General features: G+C 57.9%; 2 protein-coding genes across 18 annotated transcripts in view, besides 6 other annotated features; both read right to left on the bottom strand.

Annotated features, from left to right (window-relative positions):
* Nucleotides 460–559: a silencer, noted in NCBI's record as "silent region_9712". NCBI's record gives its function as "represses an Ori minimal core promoter by ATAC-STARR-seq in GM12878 lymphoblastoid cells {active_cell/tissue: GM12878}" and the evidence as "EXISTENCE:reporter gene assay evidence [ECO:0000049][PMID:35858748]".
* Nucleotides 610–999: a silencer, noted in NCBI's record as "silent region_9711". NCBI's record gives its function as "represses an Ori minimal core promoter by ATAC-STARR-seq in GM12878 lymphoblastoid cells {active_cell/tissue: GM12878}" and the evidence as "EXISTENCE:reporter gene assay evidence [ECO:0000049][PMID:35858748]".
* Nucleotides 4,611–5,479: an enhancer, noted in NCBI's record as "H3K4me1 hESC enhancer chr19:1440750-1441618 (GRCh37/hg19 assembly coordinates)". NCBI's record gives its function as "activates a minimal SCP1, AML or CMV promoter by ChIP-STARR-seq in naive H9 embryonic stem cells {active_cell/tissue: H9 hESC(naive)}" and the evidence as "EXISTENCE:reporter gene assay evidence [ECO:0000049][PMID:30033119]".
* RPS15 (ribosomal protein S15) lies at nucleotides 5,735–7,834 on the bottom strand. Of its 2 annotated transcripts, none has more exons than NM_001308226.2 (4): nucleotides 7,650–7,834; nucleotides 7,338–7,423; nucleotides 5,977–6,211; nucleotides 5,735–5,881 (listed from the first exon to the last, which is right to left on the bottom strand). In NM_001308226.2, exons 1-4 carry the CDS (start codon nucleotides 7,671–7,673, stop codon nucleotides 5,768–5,770), a joined length of 459 nt encoding a protein of 152 aa, NP_001295155.1. In that variant the 5' UTR covers nucleotides 7,674–7,834; the 3' UTR covers nucleotides 5,735–5,767. The 2 variants fall into 2 exon arrangements, with proteins under 2 accessions (NP_001295155.1, NP_001009.1); NM_001018.5 differs by having other exon boundaries at nucleotides 7,802–7,834.
* Nucleotides 7,219–8,089: an enhancer, noted in NCBI's record as "NANOG-H3K27ac-H3K4me1 hESC enhancer chr19:1438140-1439010 (GRCh37/hg19 assembly coordinates)". NCBI's record gives its function as "activates a minimal SCP1, AML or CMV promoter by ChIP-STARR-seq in primed H9 embryonic stem cells {active_cell/tissue: H9 hESC(primed)}" and the evidence as "EXISTENCE:reporter gene assay evidence [ECO:0000049][PMID:30033119]".
* Nucleotides 7,591–7,810: an enhancer, noted in NCBI's record as "active region_13613". NCBI's record gives its function as "activates an Ori minimal core promoter by ATAC-STARR-seq in GM12878 lymphoblastoid cells {active_cell/tissue: GM12878}" and the evidence as "EXISTENCE:reporter gene assay evidence [ECO:0000049][PMID:35858748]".
* Nucleotides 10,546–19,915, bottom strand: part of DAZAP1 (DAZ associated protein 1) — a 28,099-nt gene continuing 18,729 nt past the window's right edge. For 8 of the 16 annotated variants that reach the window (NM_018959.4, NM_001352035.2, NM_001352033.2 and 5 more), the window contains 5 exons: nucleotides 17,235–17,388; nucleotides 16,234–16,263; nucleotides 15,868–16,008; nucleotides 13,540–13,716; nucleotides 10,546–11,493 (listed from right to left, as the gene is read on the bottom strand). In NM_018959.4, the coding sequence (NP_061832.2) occupies nucleotides 11,318–11,493; nucleotides 13,540–13,716; nucleotides 15,868–16,008; nucleotides 16,234–16,263; nucleotides 17,235–17,388 (678 nt within the window). In that variant the 3' untranslated portion in view covers nucleotides 10,546–11,317. Of the gene's footprint in view, nucleotides 11,494–12,402; nucleotides 12,492–13,539; nucleotides 13,717–15,867; nucleotides 16,009–16,233; nucleotides 16,264–17,234; nucleotides 17,389–19,915 lie in introns of all 16 variants that reach the window. The other 8 variants (NM_001352034.2, XM_047438591.1, XM_011527905.3 and 5 more) reach the window with 3 other exon arrangements.
* Nucleotides 11,466–11,969: an enhancer, noted in NCBI's record as "H3K27ac-H3K4me1 hESC enhancer chr19:1434260-1434763 (GRCh37/hg19 assembly coordinates)". NCBI's record gives its function as "activates a minimal SCP1, AML or CMV promoter by ChIP-STARR-seq in primed H9 embryonic stem cells {active_cell/tissue: H9 hESC(primed)}" and the evidence as "EXISTENCE:reporter gene assay evidence [ECO:0000049][PMID:30033119]".

Here is a 19,915-nt window from a genome sequence, read left to right as displayed (position 1 = left end):
GCGGGACGCGAACGGGGCCGCCCTGCGCCTGCGCGGAGAGGGGCGGGAGGGGTCAGTCCGCGGGCCCGGGGCGGGGCTCCTCCCGAAAGGGGCGAGGGCGTACCGTGGGGTCTGGGGGTGCTCGCGGGGGCTGGGGAGTCTCGCGGGACCGAGGCTGCGGAGGGGCGGTGGGAGATCCAAGGATGGGAGAGAGGGGAGGGGACTCGCGTGGGCCGAGCGGCGCCAGGGTCCGGGTCCGACCACGCTGGGGAGTTCGAATGCGGAGGAGGCTGGGGGGGCCCGAGGCGGCGGGGAGGAGGCCGGGTGGGGGTGGGGGCACGAGAGGTCCCACGGGGAATGGGGGTCGCGGGGGGCCAGAGGCGGCGTCGCCATGCGGCTGTGGTCCGCTGCCCGCGGACGGTCACCCTGCGGAAGCTCGGAACCACCCCCGAATCAGCCCGGCTTGGCGCGCTGAGGTTCATTAGTCATTCAGCAAACATCACCTGCGCGCACAAGGCTTGCTGGGCGCCGAGCTGGGCGCGCGGGGGGCCGCCGTAAGGGGGCGACACCGAACGCGGACATTCATGCAACAAGCATTTATAAAGCACCTACTGTGTGCTGGGTCCCCCTGCACTGAACAAAACAAAATCCAGGCCCTTGGGAAGCTGACGTGAACGAGGGGACTGCAGCGGGCTGGGAGAGACGCCAGCGCGGCGGGCAGGGCATGGGGAGCTGCTGGGGAGGCCGAACAGCCCTGGGGAGTGTTGGGGGAGAGTGCAGCCCGCGAGGGCAGTGAGGGCTGGGAGGCCCCGGGGGGCAGGTCGCGCAGGCCCAGCGGGAGGTGGGAGCCACCGCGGGCTGTGGACAGAGCAGGGCCGCGCCCGGCTCCAGGCTCGCGGGCGCCCGCTGGCGGCTGCGGGGAGAACAGGCCGTGGGCGGTGCCGGGAGAGGAGGGCGGAGGCGGCTGCGCGGGTCGAGGGCCGGATGATCGGGCGGAAGATGCGGCCCGGGCAGGATGGGGGCTAAGAGGGGTGTTATGAATTGTGCAAAGTCCCTGGAAACCAAAGAACGAGCGGCCGGAGAAAGGGGCGCCGCTTTAGCAGGGCGGCGGGGACAGGCCGCCTCCAGCAGGTGCCTCAGCTGAACCCTGGAGCGGGGACGGAGCCGTGCGGCTGCCGGGGAGGCTTCGGGGCCACCCAGGACTCCTCCTTCAGAAGTCAGGGGAGGGCGCCGAGTTCAGTGTAAACTGCCGTCCAGGGGGGAGGCCGCGGGGATGTGAGAAGCGCCGGGAACCAGGACAGGGCCTGAAGGCAGCTGACCCGCAAGCGCCGGGGCCAGACCTGAACCTGATGAGGACGGAGCTGTCTGTCTGAGACGGCACAGATGGGGCCGGGCAGGTCTGGGAGAGTCCATGCAGATTCTGGAGCGGGGTGTGGGACCAGAGGGTAGAAACAGAAGCGTGGGGCCGGGCACGGTGGCTCCCGCCTGTAATCCCAGCATTTTGGGAGGCCGAAGCGGGTGGATCACTTGAGGTCAGGAGTTCGAGACCAGCCTGGCCAACATGGCAAAACCCCGTCTATACTAAAAATACAAAAAATTAACCGGCGTCTTGGCGCATGCCTGTAGTCTCAGCTAGTCGGGAGGCTGAGCAGAATCGCTTGAACCCAGGAGGCGGAGGTTGCAATGAGCTGAGATTCTGCCAGTGCACTCCAGCCTGGGCGGCAGAGCTAGACTCCGTCTCAGAAAAAAAAAAAAAAAAAAAAAAAAGAAGTGCGGATATGGCCAGAGAGGCCTAAAGACAGAGCCTGGGCCTTGAGTTGGGAGTGGCCCTCGACAGTGGCACCCTAGTGCTAGTTAGAGGCTCCCACCCCACCTCCTGGACACCCCCCAAATTCTTGTGGACCTAGGGCACCACCTGGCCACCAAGACATGTGTCTCTCTGAACTGGGGGTATCTTTTTGCTTTAAATACTAATACATATTTTCCCTGATCACACATGCTGGATTCCAACTGCAGAAAACCAAGGGAAGTACCCATTAGCAGCCACGTGCTAGCCAGCAGGGGCGTGTGCAGGGAGGGCTTTTATGGACAGGAAACTTCCCGTAAAGGTCCAGACAGTAAATTTTCAGCGTCTGCCTGGCAGAAGTAATACAGGTATGAATGGGCACAGCTGGGTGCCAGTAAAGCTCTGCAAAAGCGAAGTGAGGCCCAGCACCCATTCCTATTATGCTTTCCTCAGGGAGGGCCCCCTGGGGCTTGTTCCCAGCTAGCTGCCTCATGATGGGCGCGGCCCCACACATCTCTGTGTCATTTGCTCTGCAGATAGACCTGGTAGCTCAAAAGCTCTGTCATTTCCATTTATTTATTTTTTTCTTTTTTTGAGACGGAGTCTCGCTCTGTCCCCCAGGCTGGAGTGCAGTGGCGCGATCTCGGCTCACTGCAAGCTCCGCCTCCCGGGTTCACGCCATTCTCCCGCCTCAGCCTCTCCAGTAGCTGGGACTACAGGCGCCCGCCACCACGCCCAGCTGATTTTTTGTGTGTGTTTTTAGTAGAGATGGGGTTTCACCATGTTAGCCAGGATGGTCTTGATCTCCTGGCCTCGTGATCCGCCCGCCTCGGCCTCCCAAAGTGCTGGGATTACAGGCGTGAGCCACCGCGCCCGGCTCCATTTGTTTTTTTTAGACGGGGCCTCGGTAAAGACTTCAAGTGTGCACCATGGTTTCCGGCACTTTTGATTTCTAAGGCTCAGGGTTGAAAACCATGTTGCAGATAAAGCTGTTTCAGTGGGACATCCACTAATTTCCCACTTTGCTTATCTGAGGCGAAAAGCACCTAACACCTCAGCAATTTCTTTTTTTTTTTTTTTTTTTTTTGAGGCGGAGTCTCCGTCGCCCAGGCTGGAGCACAGCACTTTCAGAGGCCGAGGAAGGCGGATCACCTGAGGTTGGGAATTGGAGACCAGCCTGGCCAACATGGTGAAATCCTGTCTCGACTAAAAATACAAAAATTAACCAGGCGTGGTGGCGTGCTTCTGTAATCCCAGCTACTCGGGAGGCTGAGGCAGGAGAATTGCTTTAACCTGGGAGGTGGAGGCTGCAGTGAGCCGAGATCGTGCCACTCAACTCCAACCTGGGCGACAGAGCGAGACTCTGTCTCAAAAAATAAAAAGAATTCTGAATGCTGACAACCGAGACTACAATGAACCCTGCCTACACATGCCTTCCCTCCCTCTCCTTGAGCTGGACCTGGGGTGGGCCTTCGAAGCTGGGTCCCGTACAAGCTTCTGCTGTTCACGCTGAAGTGAACCTGGCCAGTGCTGCCCAGAGACCTCCGGCGGCCACCTAGCAGCCAGACTGTAGCAGGATGAGCCACAGACAAAACTCCTGACACTGGATTAAAGAAGAGGTTTTTATTCGGCCGGCAGCATCAGCAGACTCGCGTCTTAAGCTCCCCGAAAAAGAGATTCTTGGCCTTTTTAAAGGCTTACAACTTTAAGGGGTCCACGTGAAAGGGTCGTGATACATCAAGCAAGTGTGGAAAACGTGAGTGGGGGCTGCATGCATCAGCTAACACAACAGAAAGTTTTACAATGCTTTTTCGTAGTGTCTGGAATTTACAGATAACACAAGTAGTTTAGGTCAGTGGTTGATGTTATTATTACTTTTTTTTTAACTCCTAGGGCCGGGTGGTGGTGCCAAGGTTGTCTGTTTATCTTACTTTTGCATTTTTTTTCCAACTTTTTGCATTTTCTCTCCTCCTGTCTTGTGAACTAGGCAAGGTGGTGGGAGGAAGGCAGCAGGAGTAGTAGTGGTCTCCTTCCTTAAGACCACACTCCAAACTTTGGACCGTTGGTTTCAAGCCCGGTGGGTTCAGGTCAACCCACAGGCGAATTTTCAAACATTCTACACATCTCAGGGGCTGCCAGCCAAGACTTGCCCCCACTTCTGACTACCCAGCCAGGTCCAGGCCCTCAGTGGCCTCCCCGGTCTCCTTACTTCCTGGCAGGGTTGGCCAGGGCGCCCGGTGCAGTGGAGGGCTTGAGGCACGACCACGTGCAGCACCGTCCCACTGGCTACGGGCCCCTCTGGACACCAGCCAGGCAGGTCCAGTCCCACCGACTCATGCTGCCTGGGGGTCTCCCGGCTGTACTGGAGCCAAGCTTATAACCCTGGGCCATCCTTCCTCTGTCCAACCCACCTTTTCCCAAACAGAGAGAAAAACACGGACCCACACTTTCTCTGTAATGTAACTTAATTCCAAATCGAGAGGTAAGAACACGAGCAAATCATGGTTTTTTTTTTTTTTTTTTTTTGAGGCAGAGTCTAGCTCTTGTTGCCCGGGCTAGAGTGCGATTTCCGCCTCCTGGGTTCAAGTGACTCTCCTGCTTCAGCCTCTCAAGTAGCTGAGATTATAGCCGCATGCCACCATGCCCAGTTAGGCTAATTTTTTTGTATTTTCAGTAGAGACAAGGTTTTACCACGTTGGTCAGGCTGGTCTCGAACTCCTGACCTCAGGTGATCCACCCATCTCGGCCTCCCAAAGTGCTAGGATCACAGACGTGAACCACCGCGCCTGGCTGCAAATCATGTTTAAATTTGAAGATATAGCCAGCTGCAGTGTCTCATGCCTGTGATCCCAGCACTTTGGGAAGCAGTGGGAAGATCACCTGAGCCCATGAGATTTAGGCTGCAGTGAGCCATGATCACACCACTGCACTCCGGCTGGGCAACAAATTTAAAAAAAAAAGTGGAGAAACATTATAGAAGAGGGCCCACAGGAGGCTGTTGTGGGCCATTTGAGGGTGAAGGTGGGGCTCCTCACATCTCCCCTGCCCCCATCTGCCTGGCTGAGCTCTCACCCTCCTGTCCACTGCCCAAGGGGAGGCCCACCCCACATCCCTGGGCCACTCTGCTGGGTGCTTAGTGAGCAAAGTTACCACCTTCTGGGCTGAGGTGACTCCAGCATTGAACGGGGTTAGTTCTCACCATGTTCTCCAACCCACGTACGGCCATCAGAGAGCCCATGGAGGGCTGGACGGTGCCCCCCACCCACAGGCACAGCCACTTTGTCCTGTTCTTTCAAGCATTCTGTGCAAAGGAGACAGAGCTGGCCAGGCCACGGATGGTGCAGCCTAACCACGGGACACGGCTCTGTCCCGGACACAAAGCCCCAGGCTGGGCGGATGGGGCTGGCTGCAGCCATGGAGCCTGCTGGGAGAGGAGATGCCAGCAGCGTGGTGTCAGGAGGAGAGTCAGGAGCTTCTAAGAAGCCAAGCAGGGGTGAGGATAGAAGGGAGGGGCTCAGGTGGCCCAAAGGTTCCTGCTGCTGCTTCACTTCCTGCGGGAACCCTCCACAGGAGATGAGGGAAGCCAGAAAGGAGAGCCCAGGCCAGGTGAGGGCTTGAGGGGCTGCACTTAGCCCAGGAGTGGCCCCCTCTACGTGAGGTACCCAGAAGACAGAGTGAGGCCAGGCAGCTGCCCCGAGGTCAAGAACGCTGAGGGGGCCAAAAGGGACGGAGCTACACACCTGGGCTTGGGCACCCAGCTCCACAGCTGTCCCTGCAGACAGGAGCAGGGGCAGCCGAGTTGGGGCAGGGCCCGCACAGCTGTCAGTCTTCGACACCAAGAGACCATCCACACAACACTACCACACACCCCCGAACGTCCAACCTGAACCTCCTCACACCACGAACCTGAAGCAGGCCCAGGCCCCTCCCAGAGCTCGGGACGCCAGGAAGAACAAGCTGCGCAAAGGACTGGAGTCATGTGCGCCTTTATTAGCTGAGCCATTACTTGAGAGGGATGAAGCGGGAGGAGTGGGTGGCCCCGATGCCGGGCCGGCCATGCTTTACGGGCTTGTAGGTGATGGAGAACTCGCCCAGGTAGTGGCCGATCATCTCGGGCTGCGGGAGACCAAGAGCAAAGCTGGGTGTCAGCTGATCCCGCCTGCATCAGGCGACCCCAGCCCACCCCAGCCGGCAGGGACGGCCGCACACACCTTGATCTCCACCTGGTTGAAGGTCTTGCCGTTGTAGACGCCCACCATGCTGCCCACCATCTCGGGTAGGATGATCATGTCCCGCAGGTGCGTCTTCACCACTTCCGGCTTCTCCATGGGCGGCGCCTCCTTCTTGGCCTTGCGCAGGCGCTTCAGCAGGGAGTGCTGCTTCCGCCGCAGGCCCCGGTTCAGCCGCCGCCGCTGGCGCGCACTGTACAGCTGCATCAGCTGCTCGCTGGGGAGGATGCACCAGGCAGTTTTGTGAGCGGCCCGGCCTGGGGAGACCCTACGCACTCCGGCGGACAGAGAACTAAGGCTTGGTTCTCTCCAGGGACAGAGCCGCAGTGGACCTGTCACTGTCCATTGTAGTGACTACAATGAACACGCCAAGTCCCTCTGGCACCCCCGCCAGATATGCGCGACTCACCCCTCACATGCAAGAGCCACCGTGTGACTGCAGAGATTCAGAGAGAACAAGCGGCCCGGAGACCACAGCCTCAGACAAGGTGCTGCAGCGTACAGCTCGGGCCAAAGGCCTCTAAAAACGCAGGGGAAGGCAGGTAGGGCGCAGTGGCTCCCGCCTGTGATCCCAGCACTTCGGGAGGTTGAGGCGGGAGGGTCGCTTGAGCCCAGGAGTTCAAGACCAACCTGGACGACACAGAGAAACGCTGTTTCCACAAATAATCAAAAATCAAGGTCGGGCGCGGTGTTCACGCCTGTAATCCCAGCACTTTGGGAGGCCGAGGCAGGTGGATCACCTGAGGTCAGGAGTTTGAGACCAGCCTGGGCAACACTGAAACTCGTCTCTACTAAAAATACAAAAATTAGCCGGACGTGGTGGGGGGGCCCTCTAATCCCAGCTACTCGAGAGGCTGAGGCAAGAGAATCGCTTGAACCCGGGAGTGGGAGGCTGCAGTGAGCTGGGACGGAGCCATTGCACTCCAGCCTGGGCGACAGGATGAGACTCCGCCTCAAAATAATCAAAAATTAAAAAATAAAAGCGCAAGCCAGATGCCCACCACCACCCTGCCTGGAAAGGACCCAGCGACCTCCACCGCCCTTAAAATCTAAGGAGTCTAACGCAGCCCCTTATTCTAAGTCACGTGGGCTACAGACAGGGGCTACACCTTCCAACTAAGCCGCGGAAAAGTGAACAACGGGGGGCAGGTTGCAAATAAGCAAAAACCTCAACGTCTCTGGACAGTTTTCTGGGCGCAAGACCACACTCAGTTCCAAACCCGCGCGGAGACCGTGCCCGCCCACCGCCGCAGAGGCGCTTGGACCCCCGCCCCGCCGCCCTCACCCGGACAAGCCCCACCGCTGGCCCAGCCCCTGCCCGCGACCCCCGCGGCCGCCCTTACTAGGACATGTCCAGCAGCTGGTCGAGGTCCACGCCGCGGTAGGTGAACTTGCGGAAGGTCCGCTTCTTCTTCTGCTCTACTTCTGCCTGTGCGGGCGCGGATCGGGCGTCAGCGGGATCCCGACACCCATCTCCCGGGGCCACCGGGCCCGAGGACACCGCGGAAGACGCGCGGCGCCGCCGGGGACAGAAGCCCGACAGGGACACACCGCTTCGACCCGTCCCCGGGGATCACTCGCGGCTCCGGGTTACGAGGACCCGGACATGAAGGCCCGGACAGGCCTTCCCAGCCCCGCGTCGTCCCGACACCCACCAAGTCCGCCCCTCGCCCCAACATCCAGCCGCCTGCAGGGTCGGGAGCAAGCCGCCGTAGCCGCGGGGACGAACTGCGGCCCCCGCGAGACGGTCAGAGGTTGGATGGAGCCGGATAGGCCCGGCAGAGACGCGCCAAATCGCAACACTCACCATCTTGCCGGATCCTCAGAAGAGATCGCTTTGGTCCGCGCCTGCGCAGTTATCGCGAGACTGCCGGCATGTCCCGCCCCCTCGGCCGTGCGCGCACACGCGCTTCCGCTTTCCCGGCGGCGAACACGCGCCCTCTGCCGTCTGGAGGGCAAAACACAGGCTGCAGGGATTAGAGCAGCCGCCGCCTGAGGTCTGCAGAGCCGCTTCCTCCACGGAGTGGGACTTTGGACAAGTCGCCGCCCCTGTCTGAGCCTCGGGTTCGTGCTCCGTCATCTACACGATGGCACCCACATCAACAAGTATTTATGGAGCGCCTACCGTTTGCTCGTAGGTGCGGTTTGGCGGTTCAGGTCCCACTGTGGGAGGAACACGAGAATTCATTACAGATACTGGAGCAGGGACAGGGCCTCGCTGAAAAGAACCATTCCGGCTTTAACAGATAAAATTTTGTATATAAAGTTAGTAAGGACAACACAGTGAGACTGCCTCTCTACAAAAAAATACAAAAATTTGTGTACACACGGACATAAAAGAATAAAAAGTACAAAAAATTCCCAGCTACTCGGGAGGCTGAGCCTTCAGCCCAGGAGGTCAAGGCTGCAGTGAGCCGTGATCGCGCCAACGGCACTCCAGCCTGGGCGACAGAGCAAGACCCTGCCTCAAAAATAAAGTTAGGAATATCACTGGGTTTGTTAAGATATGTAAATGTAATGTGAATAATGATAGCTCAAAGAGAAGGAGTAACTAGAACTATGTAGGAGTGACTTTTTTTTTTTTTTGAGACAGAGTTTCACTCTTGTTGCCCTGGCTGGAGTGCAGTGGTGTGATCTCGGCTCACTGCAACCTCTGCCTCCTGGGTTCAAGCGATTCTCCTGCCTCAGCCTCCCAAGTAGCTGGGATTACAGGCACCTGTTACCGTGCCCGGCTAATTTTGTATTTTTAGTAAAGACACGGTTTCTCCATGTTGGCCAGGCCATGTTGGTCTCGAACTCCTGACCTCAGGTGATCCACCCGCTTTGGCCTCCCAAAGTGCTGGGATTACAGGCGTGAGCCACCGCGCCTGGCCTAGGAGTGATGTTTCTGTATCTTACTGGAATTAAGTATAAAGTTGAAGGTGACTATTAACTATGGATGTGGCACCTGGCTGGGCGTGGTGGCTTATGCTTGTAATTCCAGCACTTTGGGAGGCCGAGGCGGGCGGATCACCTGAGGTCAAGAGTTCAAGACCAAGCTGACCAACCCTAACTCTACTAAAAATACAAAAAATTAGCCAGGCGTGGTGGTGGGTGCCTGTAATCCCAGCTCCTTGGGAGGCTGAGGCAGGAGAACCGCTTGAACCCGGGAGGCGGAGGTTGCAGTGAGCTGAGATCGCACCACTGCACTCCAGCCTGGGCGACAGAGACTCCTTCTCAAAAAAAAAAAAAAAAAAAAAAAAGAAAAAGAAAAAAAAAAAGCACAAAACCTCTGGGAACCCGAGCTTAGCTGTGGCACTGTCCAGGGAGCTGAGCTCTCCCCAGCCGTCCCCACAGTCCCAAGGGAAGCCAATTACACTGTACTCAGGGAGGGCTGAGTCTCCGTCCCGAGGAGCACAGGACCTATGTGTCGGGCCCGTCCATGTTACCCATTTTCCTGCAGCAGAGTGTCCTGGCTGGAAAGCTGATTTTGTGAGTGCTGCTCTTTGGCTGGGGGAGCTAATGTAACGGGAGGGGCTGACACTCAACACCATGATGACCTGTGGTGTGGATAGACAGCCGCCCCCGCCTGGCCCTCCTGGGAGCTGGGGCAGCAGCTCCTGAGGACATGGGAGAAGGCTCTGACGGCAGGGAATGGAGCTGGCTTCCTGGGCTGAGGCGTTGAGGGGTACTGTCTCAGTGAGGAAACTGCACTGCACAGGGATGTTGGGGGTACCCCTTCTCTTGGTTCTCTCCAAACTAAGTCAAACCTTCCCTGTCCCCAAAATATGAACTGGGGCGGGGGGGGGTGGTTCTGGCTGTCGCCTGAACAGTCTCACGCCTGGCACGCTGTAGGCTTCCAGTTTGGGACTTCATGGTCCTTTTTTTTTCTTGTTTTGTTTTTTGAGACGGAGTTTCGCTCTTGTTGCCCAGGCTGGAGTGCAATGGCGCAATCTCGGCTCACTGCAAGCTCCGCCTCCCAGGTTCAAGCGATTCTTCTGCCTCAGCCTCCCAAGTAGCTGGGATTACAGGCATGCACCACCACACCCGGTTAATTTTTGTATTTTTAGTAGAGACGGGGTTTCTCCATGTTGGTCAGGCTGGTCTCGAACTCCCGACCTCAGGTGATCCGCCCGCCTCGGCCTCCCAAAGTGCTGGGATTACAGTCGTGAGCCACCGCGCCCGGCCCTTTTTAAGTCTCGCCTTCCCTGCCACAGTGACAGAGTATCCCTTTCCAAAGATGCCCCTGTCCTAATCCCCAGAACCTGGGGATATGTCACCTTCCATGGCAAAAGATATGATTAAAGGTCTTGAGATGGGAAAAGCCTGGAGCCCACATTCCCCGAGAAAACTGGTGGTGGCCACATCCTCAAAGTCACAGCATCCCAAGACCCACTGAGGGATGGGCCCAGCTCGCCACTCAGCCTCTGCCCTGAAGCCCTCGGGGTTGCTGAGACCACCAAGAGCCAAGGGGAGGGCGAGGGCGCCTCCGTCGCGTTTCAGACCTTTCCTAGGCACTGGAAGGGTAGGCACAGGCCAAGACCAAGGAGGGAAAAAACGGACACAAAGTGGTTTCTAATCCAAACGCACTTCTCTTTATTCAAACCAGGGTCAAACTGGTCAATGGGAAACGCCCTGAAGCCACGTGCCTGGGGAGAAAGGCTTCCTACTCGGTTCGGTTCAGCGCTGCGTGGGATCCACGCGGCTGGCTGTGCGCAACCCCCACAGTTCACCTCAGACACTACCAAGCAGGTCAGTCGACAAAAGCAAGGAATTAAACAAAAAACAGAAATACACTCAGTAGATTTCTTCTAGAAGCTCCCAGAGTTTCTGGACCACCAAGTCCCAACCCCCAAAGCCAGGAGCGAGGGGACTAACAGCGCACCCCCTCCACCAGTGCCGACGGAAACCCCGTTTTAAATTAAAAAATAAGCCAGTATACATCGTAGAAAATTTCTCTTAAAAATCTCACAATTTGTAAATGTATATTTTTTCTTTAACATAAAAGTTTACAATATACCGTAAAACAAAAGGCTCAGGAAAATAATTTCCAAAAAAAAGGAAGAAAAAGAAACCTGAAGTTTTGAATTAAAGCTGAAGACATTTTTTTTAAACCCTGTTGTTGAACCAGTGACTTTTTTTTATTGTGCTGATGGGTTAGAGAAAGAAATATTTAAAAACCTCAGTCCAGACGACACCCACAGCCGCTCCAAAAGCCTCGCGCCCTCCCCCCGCCCCCCCCCCCAAGGTTGAGTCGCCACTTTGCCGCCAAGTTTGTGATTGTCACGAGTTCACAAGTTTGGAATCCTGGGTCTGGGCCGTGCAGACGTCGCGGCGCCGCGGGCTAGCGTCGGTAGGGGTGGAACCCTTGCACGTTGTGGTTCTGCCCTCGTCCAAAGCCGCTGCCGCCGGCGGGGGGGCCCCCCGACCCTGGCACGGAGGGACCCCCGTAGGAAGGAGGCTGCTGGCTGGGGTCTGAGAAGCCCTGTCCGAAGCCACTCAAGTCCTGCCCGTAACCTGCTGGGGGAGAAAGTCCTGTGAGCTCGGGGCGGTCCCTGGGCGGTTGGCACTGCCGTCGAGCGAGGCCACCTGGACACAGCTCCGCCGAGCCTGCCTTGAGTCCACGGGTCCCACGGGGTGCGGGTGGGGCCCTTCTGAGGCCAGCACCTGGGCCGGGGAGAGGACCCCGGGCATGTTCTCTCCCTCAAAAACATGTGAGCAGGGGCACACACAGAGAAAAGCGGCTTCCAGAGCCCTCCATGGCCCACGTAACCTCACCGCTTCCCTGTTCAATCCCGAAGACGTGGTTGGGGGGGTGAGGGGAGGTAGAGAAGCCTCGGGGCTTGGAGACACACATGGCCCAAGGCACGGTGGACCAGGCTTCTAGAAAGCTGGCTCTCGGAGTTTCAGAAAACCCCTGACGGGCCCTTGCAGCGATACAGGGCCTGCCCCTCCGTCGCAGACCAGACCCCACGTTGTCCTTCCTGTCAGGGCACGTCCATCGGTGGCACGTGTCAGGGAAGGGTTTCTGGGCCCAACCTGACTGCCCCAGTGACACCACTGGCTGAGGGGCCAGCACACCCTGCAGCCCGTCCGGCCCACACAGCCGACCTCAGGAGCATGGACAGCGGTGTCTTTACAAGGACAGAGCTGCTCACGCCGCTCCCCACCCCGCTGCACACCTTGCAGGAAGCCCCTCCCACGACCTCTGGGTTCCCATTCGGGTGCACGTGGGCACAGGTGGGCGTGGGCTCTCTCTGGGGGATCCTGGGCCCGCTGAAGGCTTGTGGCCAATGTCTTGGCACCGGCAAGGGCCCCTTCCCAGAGGGCACCGCCAGCGTCCACCCCCGCCCGGGACGGCAGAGGAAGCCACGTCCACCTCCCGGTGCAGGCGGGTGGGAGGACCCTGGAGAAGGAGGCGGCACCTACCTAGGCCACATCACTGCTCAGCCTGACCATAAGACTGTAAACAAAGTGTGGGCCGCAGCCCGGCGGGGCTGGAGAATAGGAACCCAGGCCTGGCAAGAGACGAGACCAGGGTGACCAACCCAAGCAGCCGCCACCAAGAGCAGCGGCTGACACACGCCACGCCCCAACCGGGCGCCTCACACCCCCCTGCCAGTCTCAGACACGCCAGGGTTTGGTGGTGAGTGGGTCAAGAACCCACACATGCGGCAACCTCGGCCCAAGGCCTGGGCGTGGGGGCAGGGGAACCACAGCCATGCGAGGTGGGTGGGCGGGCACCTCGGCCGAACACAGCTCCCACACCCCGGCCTCCACCAGGCCTAGAGGAAGCGTGTTCACAGGCACCCCGGAAGCCCGTGGCCACCTGCAGACAGGTGCCCCATGTTCTCAAACCCTGCTTGTGAATGACCCCTGGTGCTGGAGGAGCTGACCGTAGTTGGAGCCCTGCCCACTGAGGCCACCGCGTTGGTCCTGAGCAAGGCTGCTGTGACTCCTGGCTCAGTGCAGGGCGAGAACTACTGACATGCAGACCTTGACCCATGCTGACCCCGCCCCCCCACAAGCTCCTGCCCCGGAAGCACATGCGCTGCCTGCAGATCACGTCCAGGCAGACCCAAGCCACGACAGCCATCCAGTCCAGGGTGAAGCCCACGTCCAGGCCACGCCTACTACAGACCCAGCTTCTGCCCCAAGCGGGGTCTGGACCCAGCAGGAGGCTGATGACGCCAGAAACTGGAACCCACCAAGGGGCCAGTGCACCCGGGACCCACACCGAGGGCCTGAACCTCTAGACAGTGATCACAGCTGCCTGCGACTCACTTCCCTCGACCCAGTCGCCACTCAGGTTCCCACACATGCAGGCCCTGCAGCACCTGCTGTATGACGAGTGCTCTGCTGCGACAAGACTCCCACGCTCCCTTCTGCTGGACCCGAGTTGCCACGAGATCTCTCCAACAACCCCCACACCCCCCTCTCCTCCCTCTCCCCTTTCCCACCAGGTAAAGGCTGGGGAGCGTCCAGCAGGGGAGGAAGCAGAAGAAGGCAGGCCGTGCCCAGGGTCCTGGGGCCAGCGGGGACGCGGCATGGCAGGAGACCACTTACCATACTGACCATAGGGGAAGTCTGGCTGAGCTGTCGGGGGCTTGCTCATGTCCGGGGCAGCCTGAGACGGAGGCGGTGGGAAAGCCAGAGGTGCTGCCCCGGGAGTGGCTGGTGGAGGAGGAACCCCCGGAGGGGCAAACTGATCTGGCGGTGGAGGTGGAGGCCCGTAGCCAAAACCTGCAGAGGTACAAGAGGGCAAGGCACAAGACACGTTGTGCAGCTGGGGGCAGACCAGCAGGAGACCCACACCCAGCCCAGCAGGAGCTGCCCAGACGGGACTGCCACCCAAACCCACAGAACGCCCAGGCCTTGTGGACATCCACAGAATGGACCACAGAGCCACGGTCCCGGGCCGCTCCCCCCAGGAAACACACACTCCTGGGAGCGTGGCGGGATGCTGAGCTGCAGCAGGGCCACCTCGTTCCTCACGGAGCAGCCGCCAGGTGGGCCTCAGACAAGAACTCAAGGAGCAAGTAACCTCACAGCAAAATTGCTCTTTCAGAAGGACAAAAACCTGCCACCATGCCCAGTCCCCATGTTTAGGAAGCTGCCAGCACAGGCAAGGGAGCATCCTGACGTGCTTGGAAGGGACTGTCATGCTGGAGGTGCTGCCGCCCTTGCCCTCTGTTGCTGGATATCAGGCAGGCCGAGGTTCCACCCAACTCCCCTCCTGTCAGTCATCTGGCCCACAGGCCTCCGTGTGCAGAGCCTGATCCAGGCCAGAGGATGGAACTGCCTGCTCCTGTACCACGGCCACGTGGAGCCTCCAAACCCCCGAGACGGGACTAGCTCACACTGTGATATGCCCCAATTGTCAAACACCCCCAGGGCCCAGGGCCCGCAGGTGAAATCAGATCACGGTGCCGTTCCTGCTGGCTGCGTGCTGTGAGGTGCAATCCCTGGCTAGGCAGGTAAGGGACGCAAGGCTCCCAGAAAGGACACCCCACGTATGGCCCATGTCCCTTCTTCTCTACTGGAGGGTGCCAAGACCTCACCCTGGGGGCCCCGTCTAAAATTCTGGATGCGCTGAGGTCAGGAGTTCAAGACCAGCCTGACCAACATAGTGAAACCTGTTCTCTACTAAAAATACAAAATTAGCCGGGCGTGGTGGCAGACGCCTGTAATCCCAGCTACTCAGGACACTGAGGCAGGAGAGTCGCTTGAACCCAGGAGGCAGAGGTTGTAGTGAGCCAAGATCGGGGCACTGCACTCAATCCTGGGCAACAAAAGTGAAACTCCATCTCAAAAAAATAAATAAAATAGTCCGGGCGCGGTGGCTCACGCTTCTAATCCCAGCGCTTTGGGAGGCCGAGGCGGGCGAATCACGAGGTCAGGAGATCGAGACCATCCTGCCTAACACGGTGAAACCCTGTCTCTACTAAAAATACAAAAAAATTAGCCAGGCGTGGTGGTGGGCGCCTGTAGTCCCAGCTACTCAGGAGACTGAGGTAGGAGAATGGCGTGAACCCAGGAGGTGGAGCTTGCAGTAAGCCGAGATGGCGCCACTGCACTCTAGCCTGGGCGACAGAGTGAGACTCCATCTCAAAAAAAAACCATAAATAAATAAATAAAATAAAATAAAACTCTGGGTGTGTCGGCTGATCTTACACTCAGCTTTTCAATTACAAGTGACGTGTACAGGAAAATTAGTCAAGAATTAGAGCCTGTGAGGCTGGGCGCAGTCACTCACGCCTGTAATCCCAGCACTTTGGGAGGCCGAGGCAGGCGGATCACAAGGTCAGGAGATCGAGACCACCCTGGCTAACATGGTGAAACCCCGTCTCTACTAAAAATACAAAAAAATTAGCCGGGCGTGGTGGCGAGCGCCTGTAGTCCCAGCTACTCGGGAGACTGAGGCAGGAGAATGGTGTGAACCCAGGAGGCGGAGCTTGCAGTGAGCCGCGATTGCGCCACTGCACTCCAGCCTGGGCTACAGAGTGAAACTCCATCTCAAAAAAAAAAAAAAAACAATTAGAGCTTGTACACCCTTAAACAAATGCCCCCCTAATCCTGAAGTATGAGGCTAAGACACGAAGTCCAGGCTCTGTCTCCTGAGGAGCCTGTGAGAACTGGTTGGGCCCAGACATTCCTGCTATGAGCTCTCCAACCCGCAGGAGCCCGGGCTGCCCTTTAGCCTAACCAGCGAGGCCACAGGCGATGGAGCCCATCTGCAGGTGAAGGGCCTGGTGGCAGGTGACCTGCTGACCAGCCGGCACCCCACCTGTGGCTGAGGCCAGACGTGTAACACAAGACTCCCCATCACCCCGCCCACCACCTGGCATCTCCGGAGCAGGCGGGAGGCCCTCCCACAAGGCCCCCTAGACTTACTGAACTGTGGCGGGGCACCGTAGCCCTGAGGGAAGCCCTGGGGAGGGGGAAAGCCTCCAGGAGGGGTGGACACGATGTAGGAGGTGAACGGTGGGGGTGGCGGGGGGGCTCCTCTTCCTGCAGGGGGCGGTCCATAGCCACCTGAAACACACAGTACGGGGGTGATGGACAGAGAGCGCTGGACAACACAGACTGGCCACAGTTAGACCCAGGCCTGCCAGGGGCCCTAGCAGGCCCCTCACCCTCTCTTCCTCTCCAGCACTCAGGACACGGGAACCAGGCTTTGCCGGCTGCCCCAGGACACCTGGCGAGTCAGCCTGCCATGTGGCTTCTGTCCCCGCCTTTGCTCTATAAACAAGGACTTACCAATCGCCTGTCCTGCCGGCACCCACATTCCTAGATAAGAGAACAGAAGAGGAGGTTGGCGCCGTGTCCACCAGCTGTCCGACGCAGAGAAGGAGCCGCAGAGCATGGACGTCAAGGGCTGGGACCAACCCCGGAGCCTCCTGTGCTTAGAGCCTGTTCGTCCTGAGGGCAGAGCCCTCTGAACCCTGAGCAGAGAAGCACTCCCCACCCCTTGTAGAACAGGCCTTAAAGCCACTCTCCTCTGTGCCCTGCCAGGTGGCGGGCACTGTGTCTGCTGACTGGGGCACGGGTGACCTCCCGGCTCCACCTGAGGACCCCAGAGAAACCTGAGACTTCTAAGCCTCGAGAGGGCAGGGACAGTCCCCACAGCACCTCCGAGTTTCCAACAAGGGAGGCTCCAGAGAAAAAGGTTTTAGACGAGGTGCAGGGAAGCCACAGTCTCGGGACCCGGACGACGTACATCTGGAACCCTGACCCACAACTCGGGTCGGGCTGCAGCCAAGCCCAGGGGTTCCGTGGCTGCTGGAAGCTCCAAGGACGGCCCACAACGTGGGCCTAACTACAGAGGGCCCACGGCACTGCAGAGGGAACGGCAGGTGGCAAGGATCCAAAGCCTGCCGGCTCCTCAAGCCCCCCAGGGGCAGCACCCCGATTCTGAGCTCAGCTTGGCAATGCCAGCCCTCTCAGGGTTTCGTGCTCAGACCTGCCGTGGCACACGGTCGCGAGGTGCAGACGCTCACTGCAGCTCTTCCCGGTGACAATGAGTCCCAGGCCCCGGACGGGCACCTAAGCCGTGGCCACCCCGCTACTGAGGAGGCTGCGGGTGCTGCCCGGGAGCTGGCTGTCAGCCGGCACCTCGCGGGGGCTCAAGGACACTGTGAACCGCGGCTCTGTGCATGCACAGCAGAGGTGGGGAGGCCGCAGCGACGGCACAGCCCAGGGCGCGCGGGCCAAGTCCGAGAAGGGGGACATTCCCGTGGGCACCTCTGCATCAGCCTTACCTTGCGGGCCATATCCTTGCTGCCACGTGGGCGGGGGCTGGCCTGCCCAGCCATTGGCAGCGTTGGGCACAACCCGGCTCCCCCACTGGCTGGCACCTGGCTGTCCCGGCGCTTGGCTCTTGCTGTCCCGAGGCTCAGCTCGTTTAACTTCCACCTAAACAAACCGAGCTCTGGTTTAGGGCGAGGCTGCGGGTCCCAGCACCCCCTTCCCTTTAGACACACCCTCGGGTAACTTATGACTACACTTAGCATCTTACAACTTAAGACTAAATACTTAACTATAAACCTTATTTAGGCCAGTAGCATTTTTTTCTTAAAAAATTCTTTTGTGTTGAATTTTTTTGTTTAAAAAATGTTTCTCAGGTACAACAGATGCAACCGTAAGACACACAGAGCCCGCCCACTGCGGGGCAGCAGGACCGAGCCCAGAGCCCTCGGGGGTTTCGTGCGTGACGAAGGGTCTTTCACTCAAGTAAAATGGCAGCGTCCTCCTTCCTCTTGAAAACATGGGGACAAAAAGGGACCAGGATCTTCCCAGCAATCGGCATCCTCATCGCCCTCTGGACTGCTTGGAGCCCGCCCACCTGTGCTTTTAACTCATACCTGAGAAACACGGCTGGTGTTTTACTTAGATTTTTAAATTTAAAATGTCTAATGGAAGATAAAGACTTACCTTCCCCAGGCTAACGCTTAAAGAATCTCAATTAACTCAAAACTAATGTCAGAGGGAATGGATGTGATAAGAGAATCTTACATTACATCTAACAAAAAAAGTAACAAACATGCAATAAAATGGACATTTGGATCAGTAAGCAATCTTCATACTGTGTTCGCTCAGCAGCCCGGGGCCCTTCCTCTCTAGACGTGTCAGGAGCCACAGTCTTCTCAGGAGGAGGGTGCGGGGCCGGGGACAATGGATGGAGCAGGCCTGACCTACTTATTCTAGGCGCAGTGGCTGACCTTCCTTTAATGCCTGCTTGAAAATATGGGTGGACTAACAACAGAAAGATCCCCCCAATTCCGGGGCTGCCTCAGCATTTGAGAATCCTGAATTTGTCTCACTTTTCTGATAAATCGTAATGAGAATAAAGAGACAATGGATCCACCTGGAGTCAGCCTTGGGGTCTCAGTCTGGAGAGCTGCACATCCTGAGTTCAGAATCCCTCAGTTCTGCCTGTTAGAGAACAGACAGCAGCAGCCACAGAGGCACAAAGCCCCCACCTGCCCAATGCCCCAAGGACCGGCCTATGATGGGAACAGGATCCGTTAGCTCAAGGCAATGTGACAGCAGGACCAAGGGACCCATTTCAAAGAACTCAAATGAGCGAGTCTTCACACACCCTCCTCAGGGGACTGCGGTTCCTGCTTACAAAGCAGAGCGGTCCTTGTACTTTAAAAAAACAAAAACAAAAAAAAATTCTTTCACCCTTTCCTACCTGAATGCAGCAATGCAGTCGCCTGGCATGGAGGGTTAACTACCACGCGGTACCAAACACTCCACAAACGGAAAACCCCCATGAGGGGCCGGCGGCGACGCCAAGTGCCGCTCCAGCCAACCAGTGAAGGCCGGCGCCGGGCAAGCTGGACTCCAACGACTGTCTGGCTTGGAAGGCGAGACCCACACTGAGGTCGCCCAGCTCAGGAGCTCGCGCAGAACAGTCATGGCTGGGGGGACCCAGGGGCTGCCCAGGGACGGCAGCAGGTGTGTGCACTGTACAGAGCTCTTTCTGCCCCGTATATCAAGACCACGCTTTCCCCAAATTGTCAGTGTCGTAGTCCCTTAAAACACTGGGCGCAGACTCCTTGAAGCCCTGCTTGTACTGTCGCGCACCCATGCAGCCGGCAGGCTCATTTTAAACCACAAGCTGCACTCGATGTCAGAACAAGGATTGTGTCTCCTGTTTTAGTTGGGTTCAAATGGAATTAATGAAGTCTGCAACCCAATCTAAGCCACGTGTATACAAAAATAACTACACATGCTACTGTTTTTAAAAAAGTTCTGCTATCAAGACCTCTGGCTGGGGTAGAGGGCAGGGGCAGGAGATAATGAGCACGATGCTCCCTCCAGGACATTTTAATTGAAAAAACAACCATGGCCCTGTCAGAGGGGCTAAGCGTCTTCTTCCGTTAACGGGAGAAGCTGCCGCACCAAGGAGGCCGGGTCAGAATCCCACTGGGCATGTGAGGCGGCCTGGCAGAGCCAGCAGAGCTCCTTGGTTTGAAAGGACCAAGACAGGAATCCTGCAAAAACCTGGACCCCTAAGCTTTTGCTAACTGCAAGAAATTCCACACTGTAGAATTTCTACCAGTTATTTATTTCAGAGTCCACTTCTCAAGAACCTCCAAGGGTCCAGGTAAAACAAGGATTTAGGGACCCCTTTCTGACACATGCCTTCCAAGGGCTGGCCTGGGGGTTGGGGGGGTGGCCTCCTGTCCCTCTCACCTCCGGGGGTAACACAGTATGAAGATGACACAACCAGAGGTCACTTGACTGCATGGTGGCTGAGTACTACCGAGAGCATGTGGCTGGTGCCGGAGTTCCACAGTAAGTGACCCAATTCAAACAACCAGTCCTTCATGATGTTTCCACTGTGCTTTCCATTTTAAGCGGAACCTCGGCTCTCAAAGGTCCCTTGCTGATCACATTACAGGTCAGTGTCAGACAATGGGGATTTGCAGAC

The sequence above is a fragment of the Homo sapiens genome, chromosome 19 (assembly GCF_000001405.40).
Source record: "Homo sapiens chromosome 19, GRCh38.p14 Primary Assembly".
Taxonomy (NCBI): Eukaryota; Metazoa; Chordata; class Mammalia; order Primates; family Hominidae; genus Homo; species Homo sapiens.
Note: the sequence above shows the minus strand (reverse complement) of the source record. Positions and strands in the feature narration are given on the sequence as shown.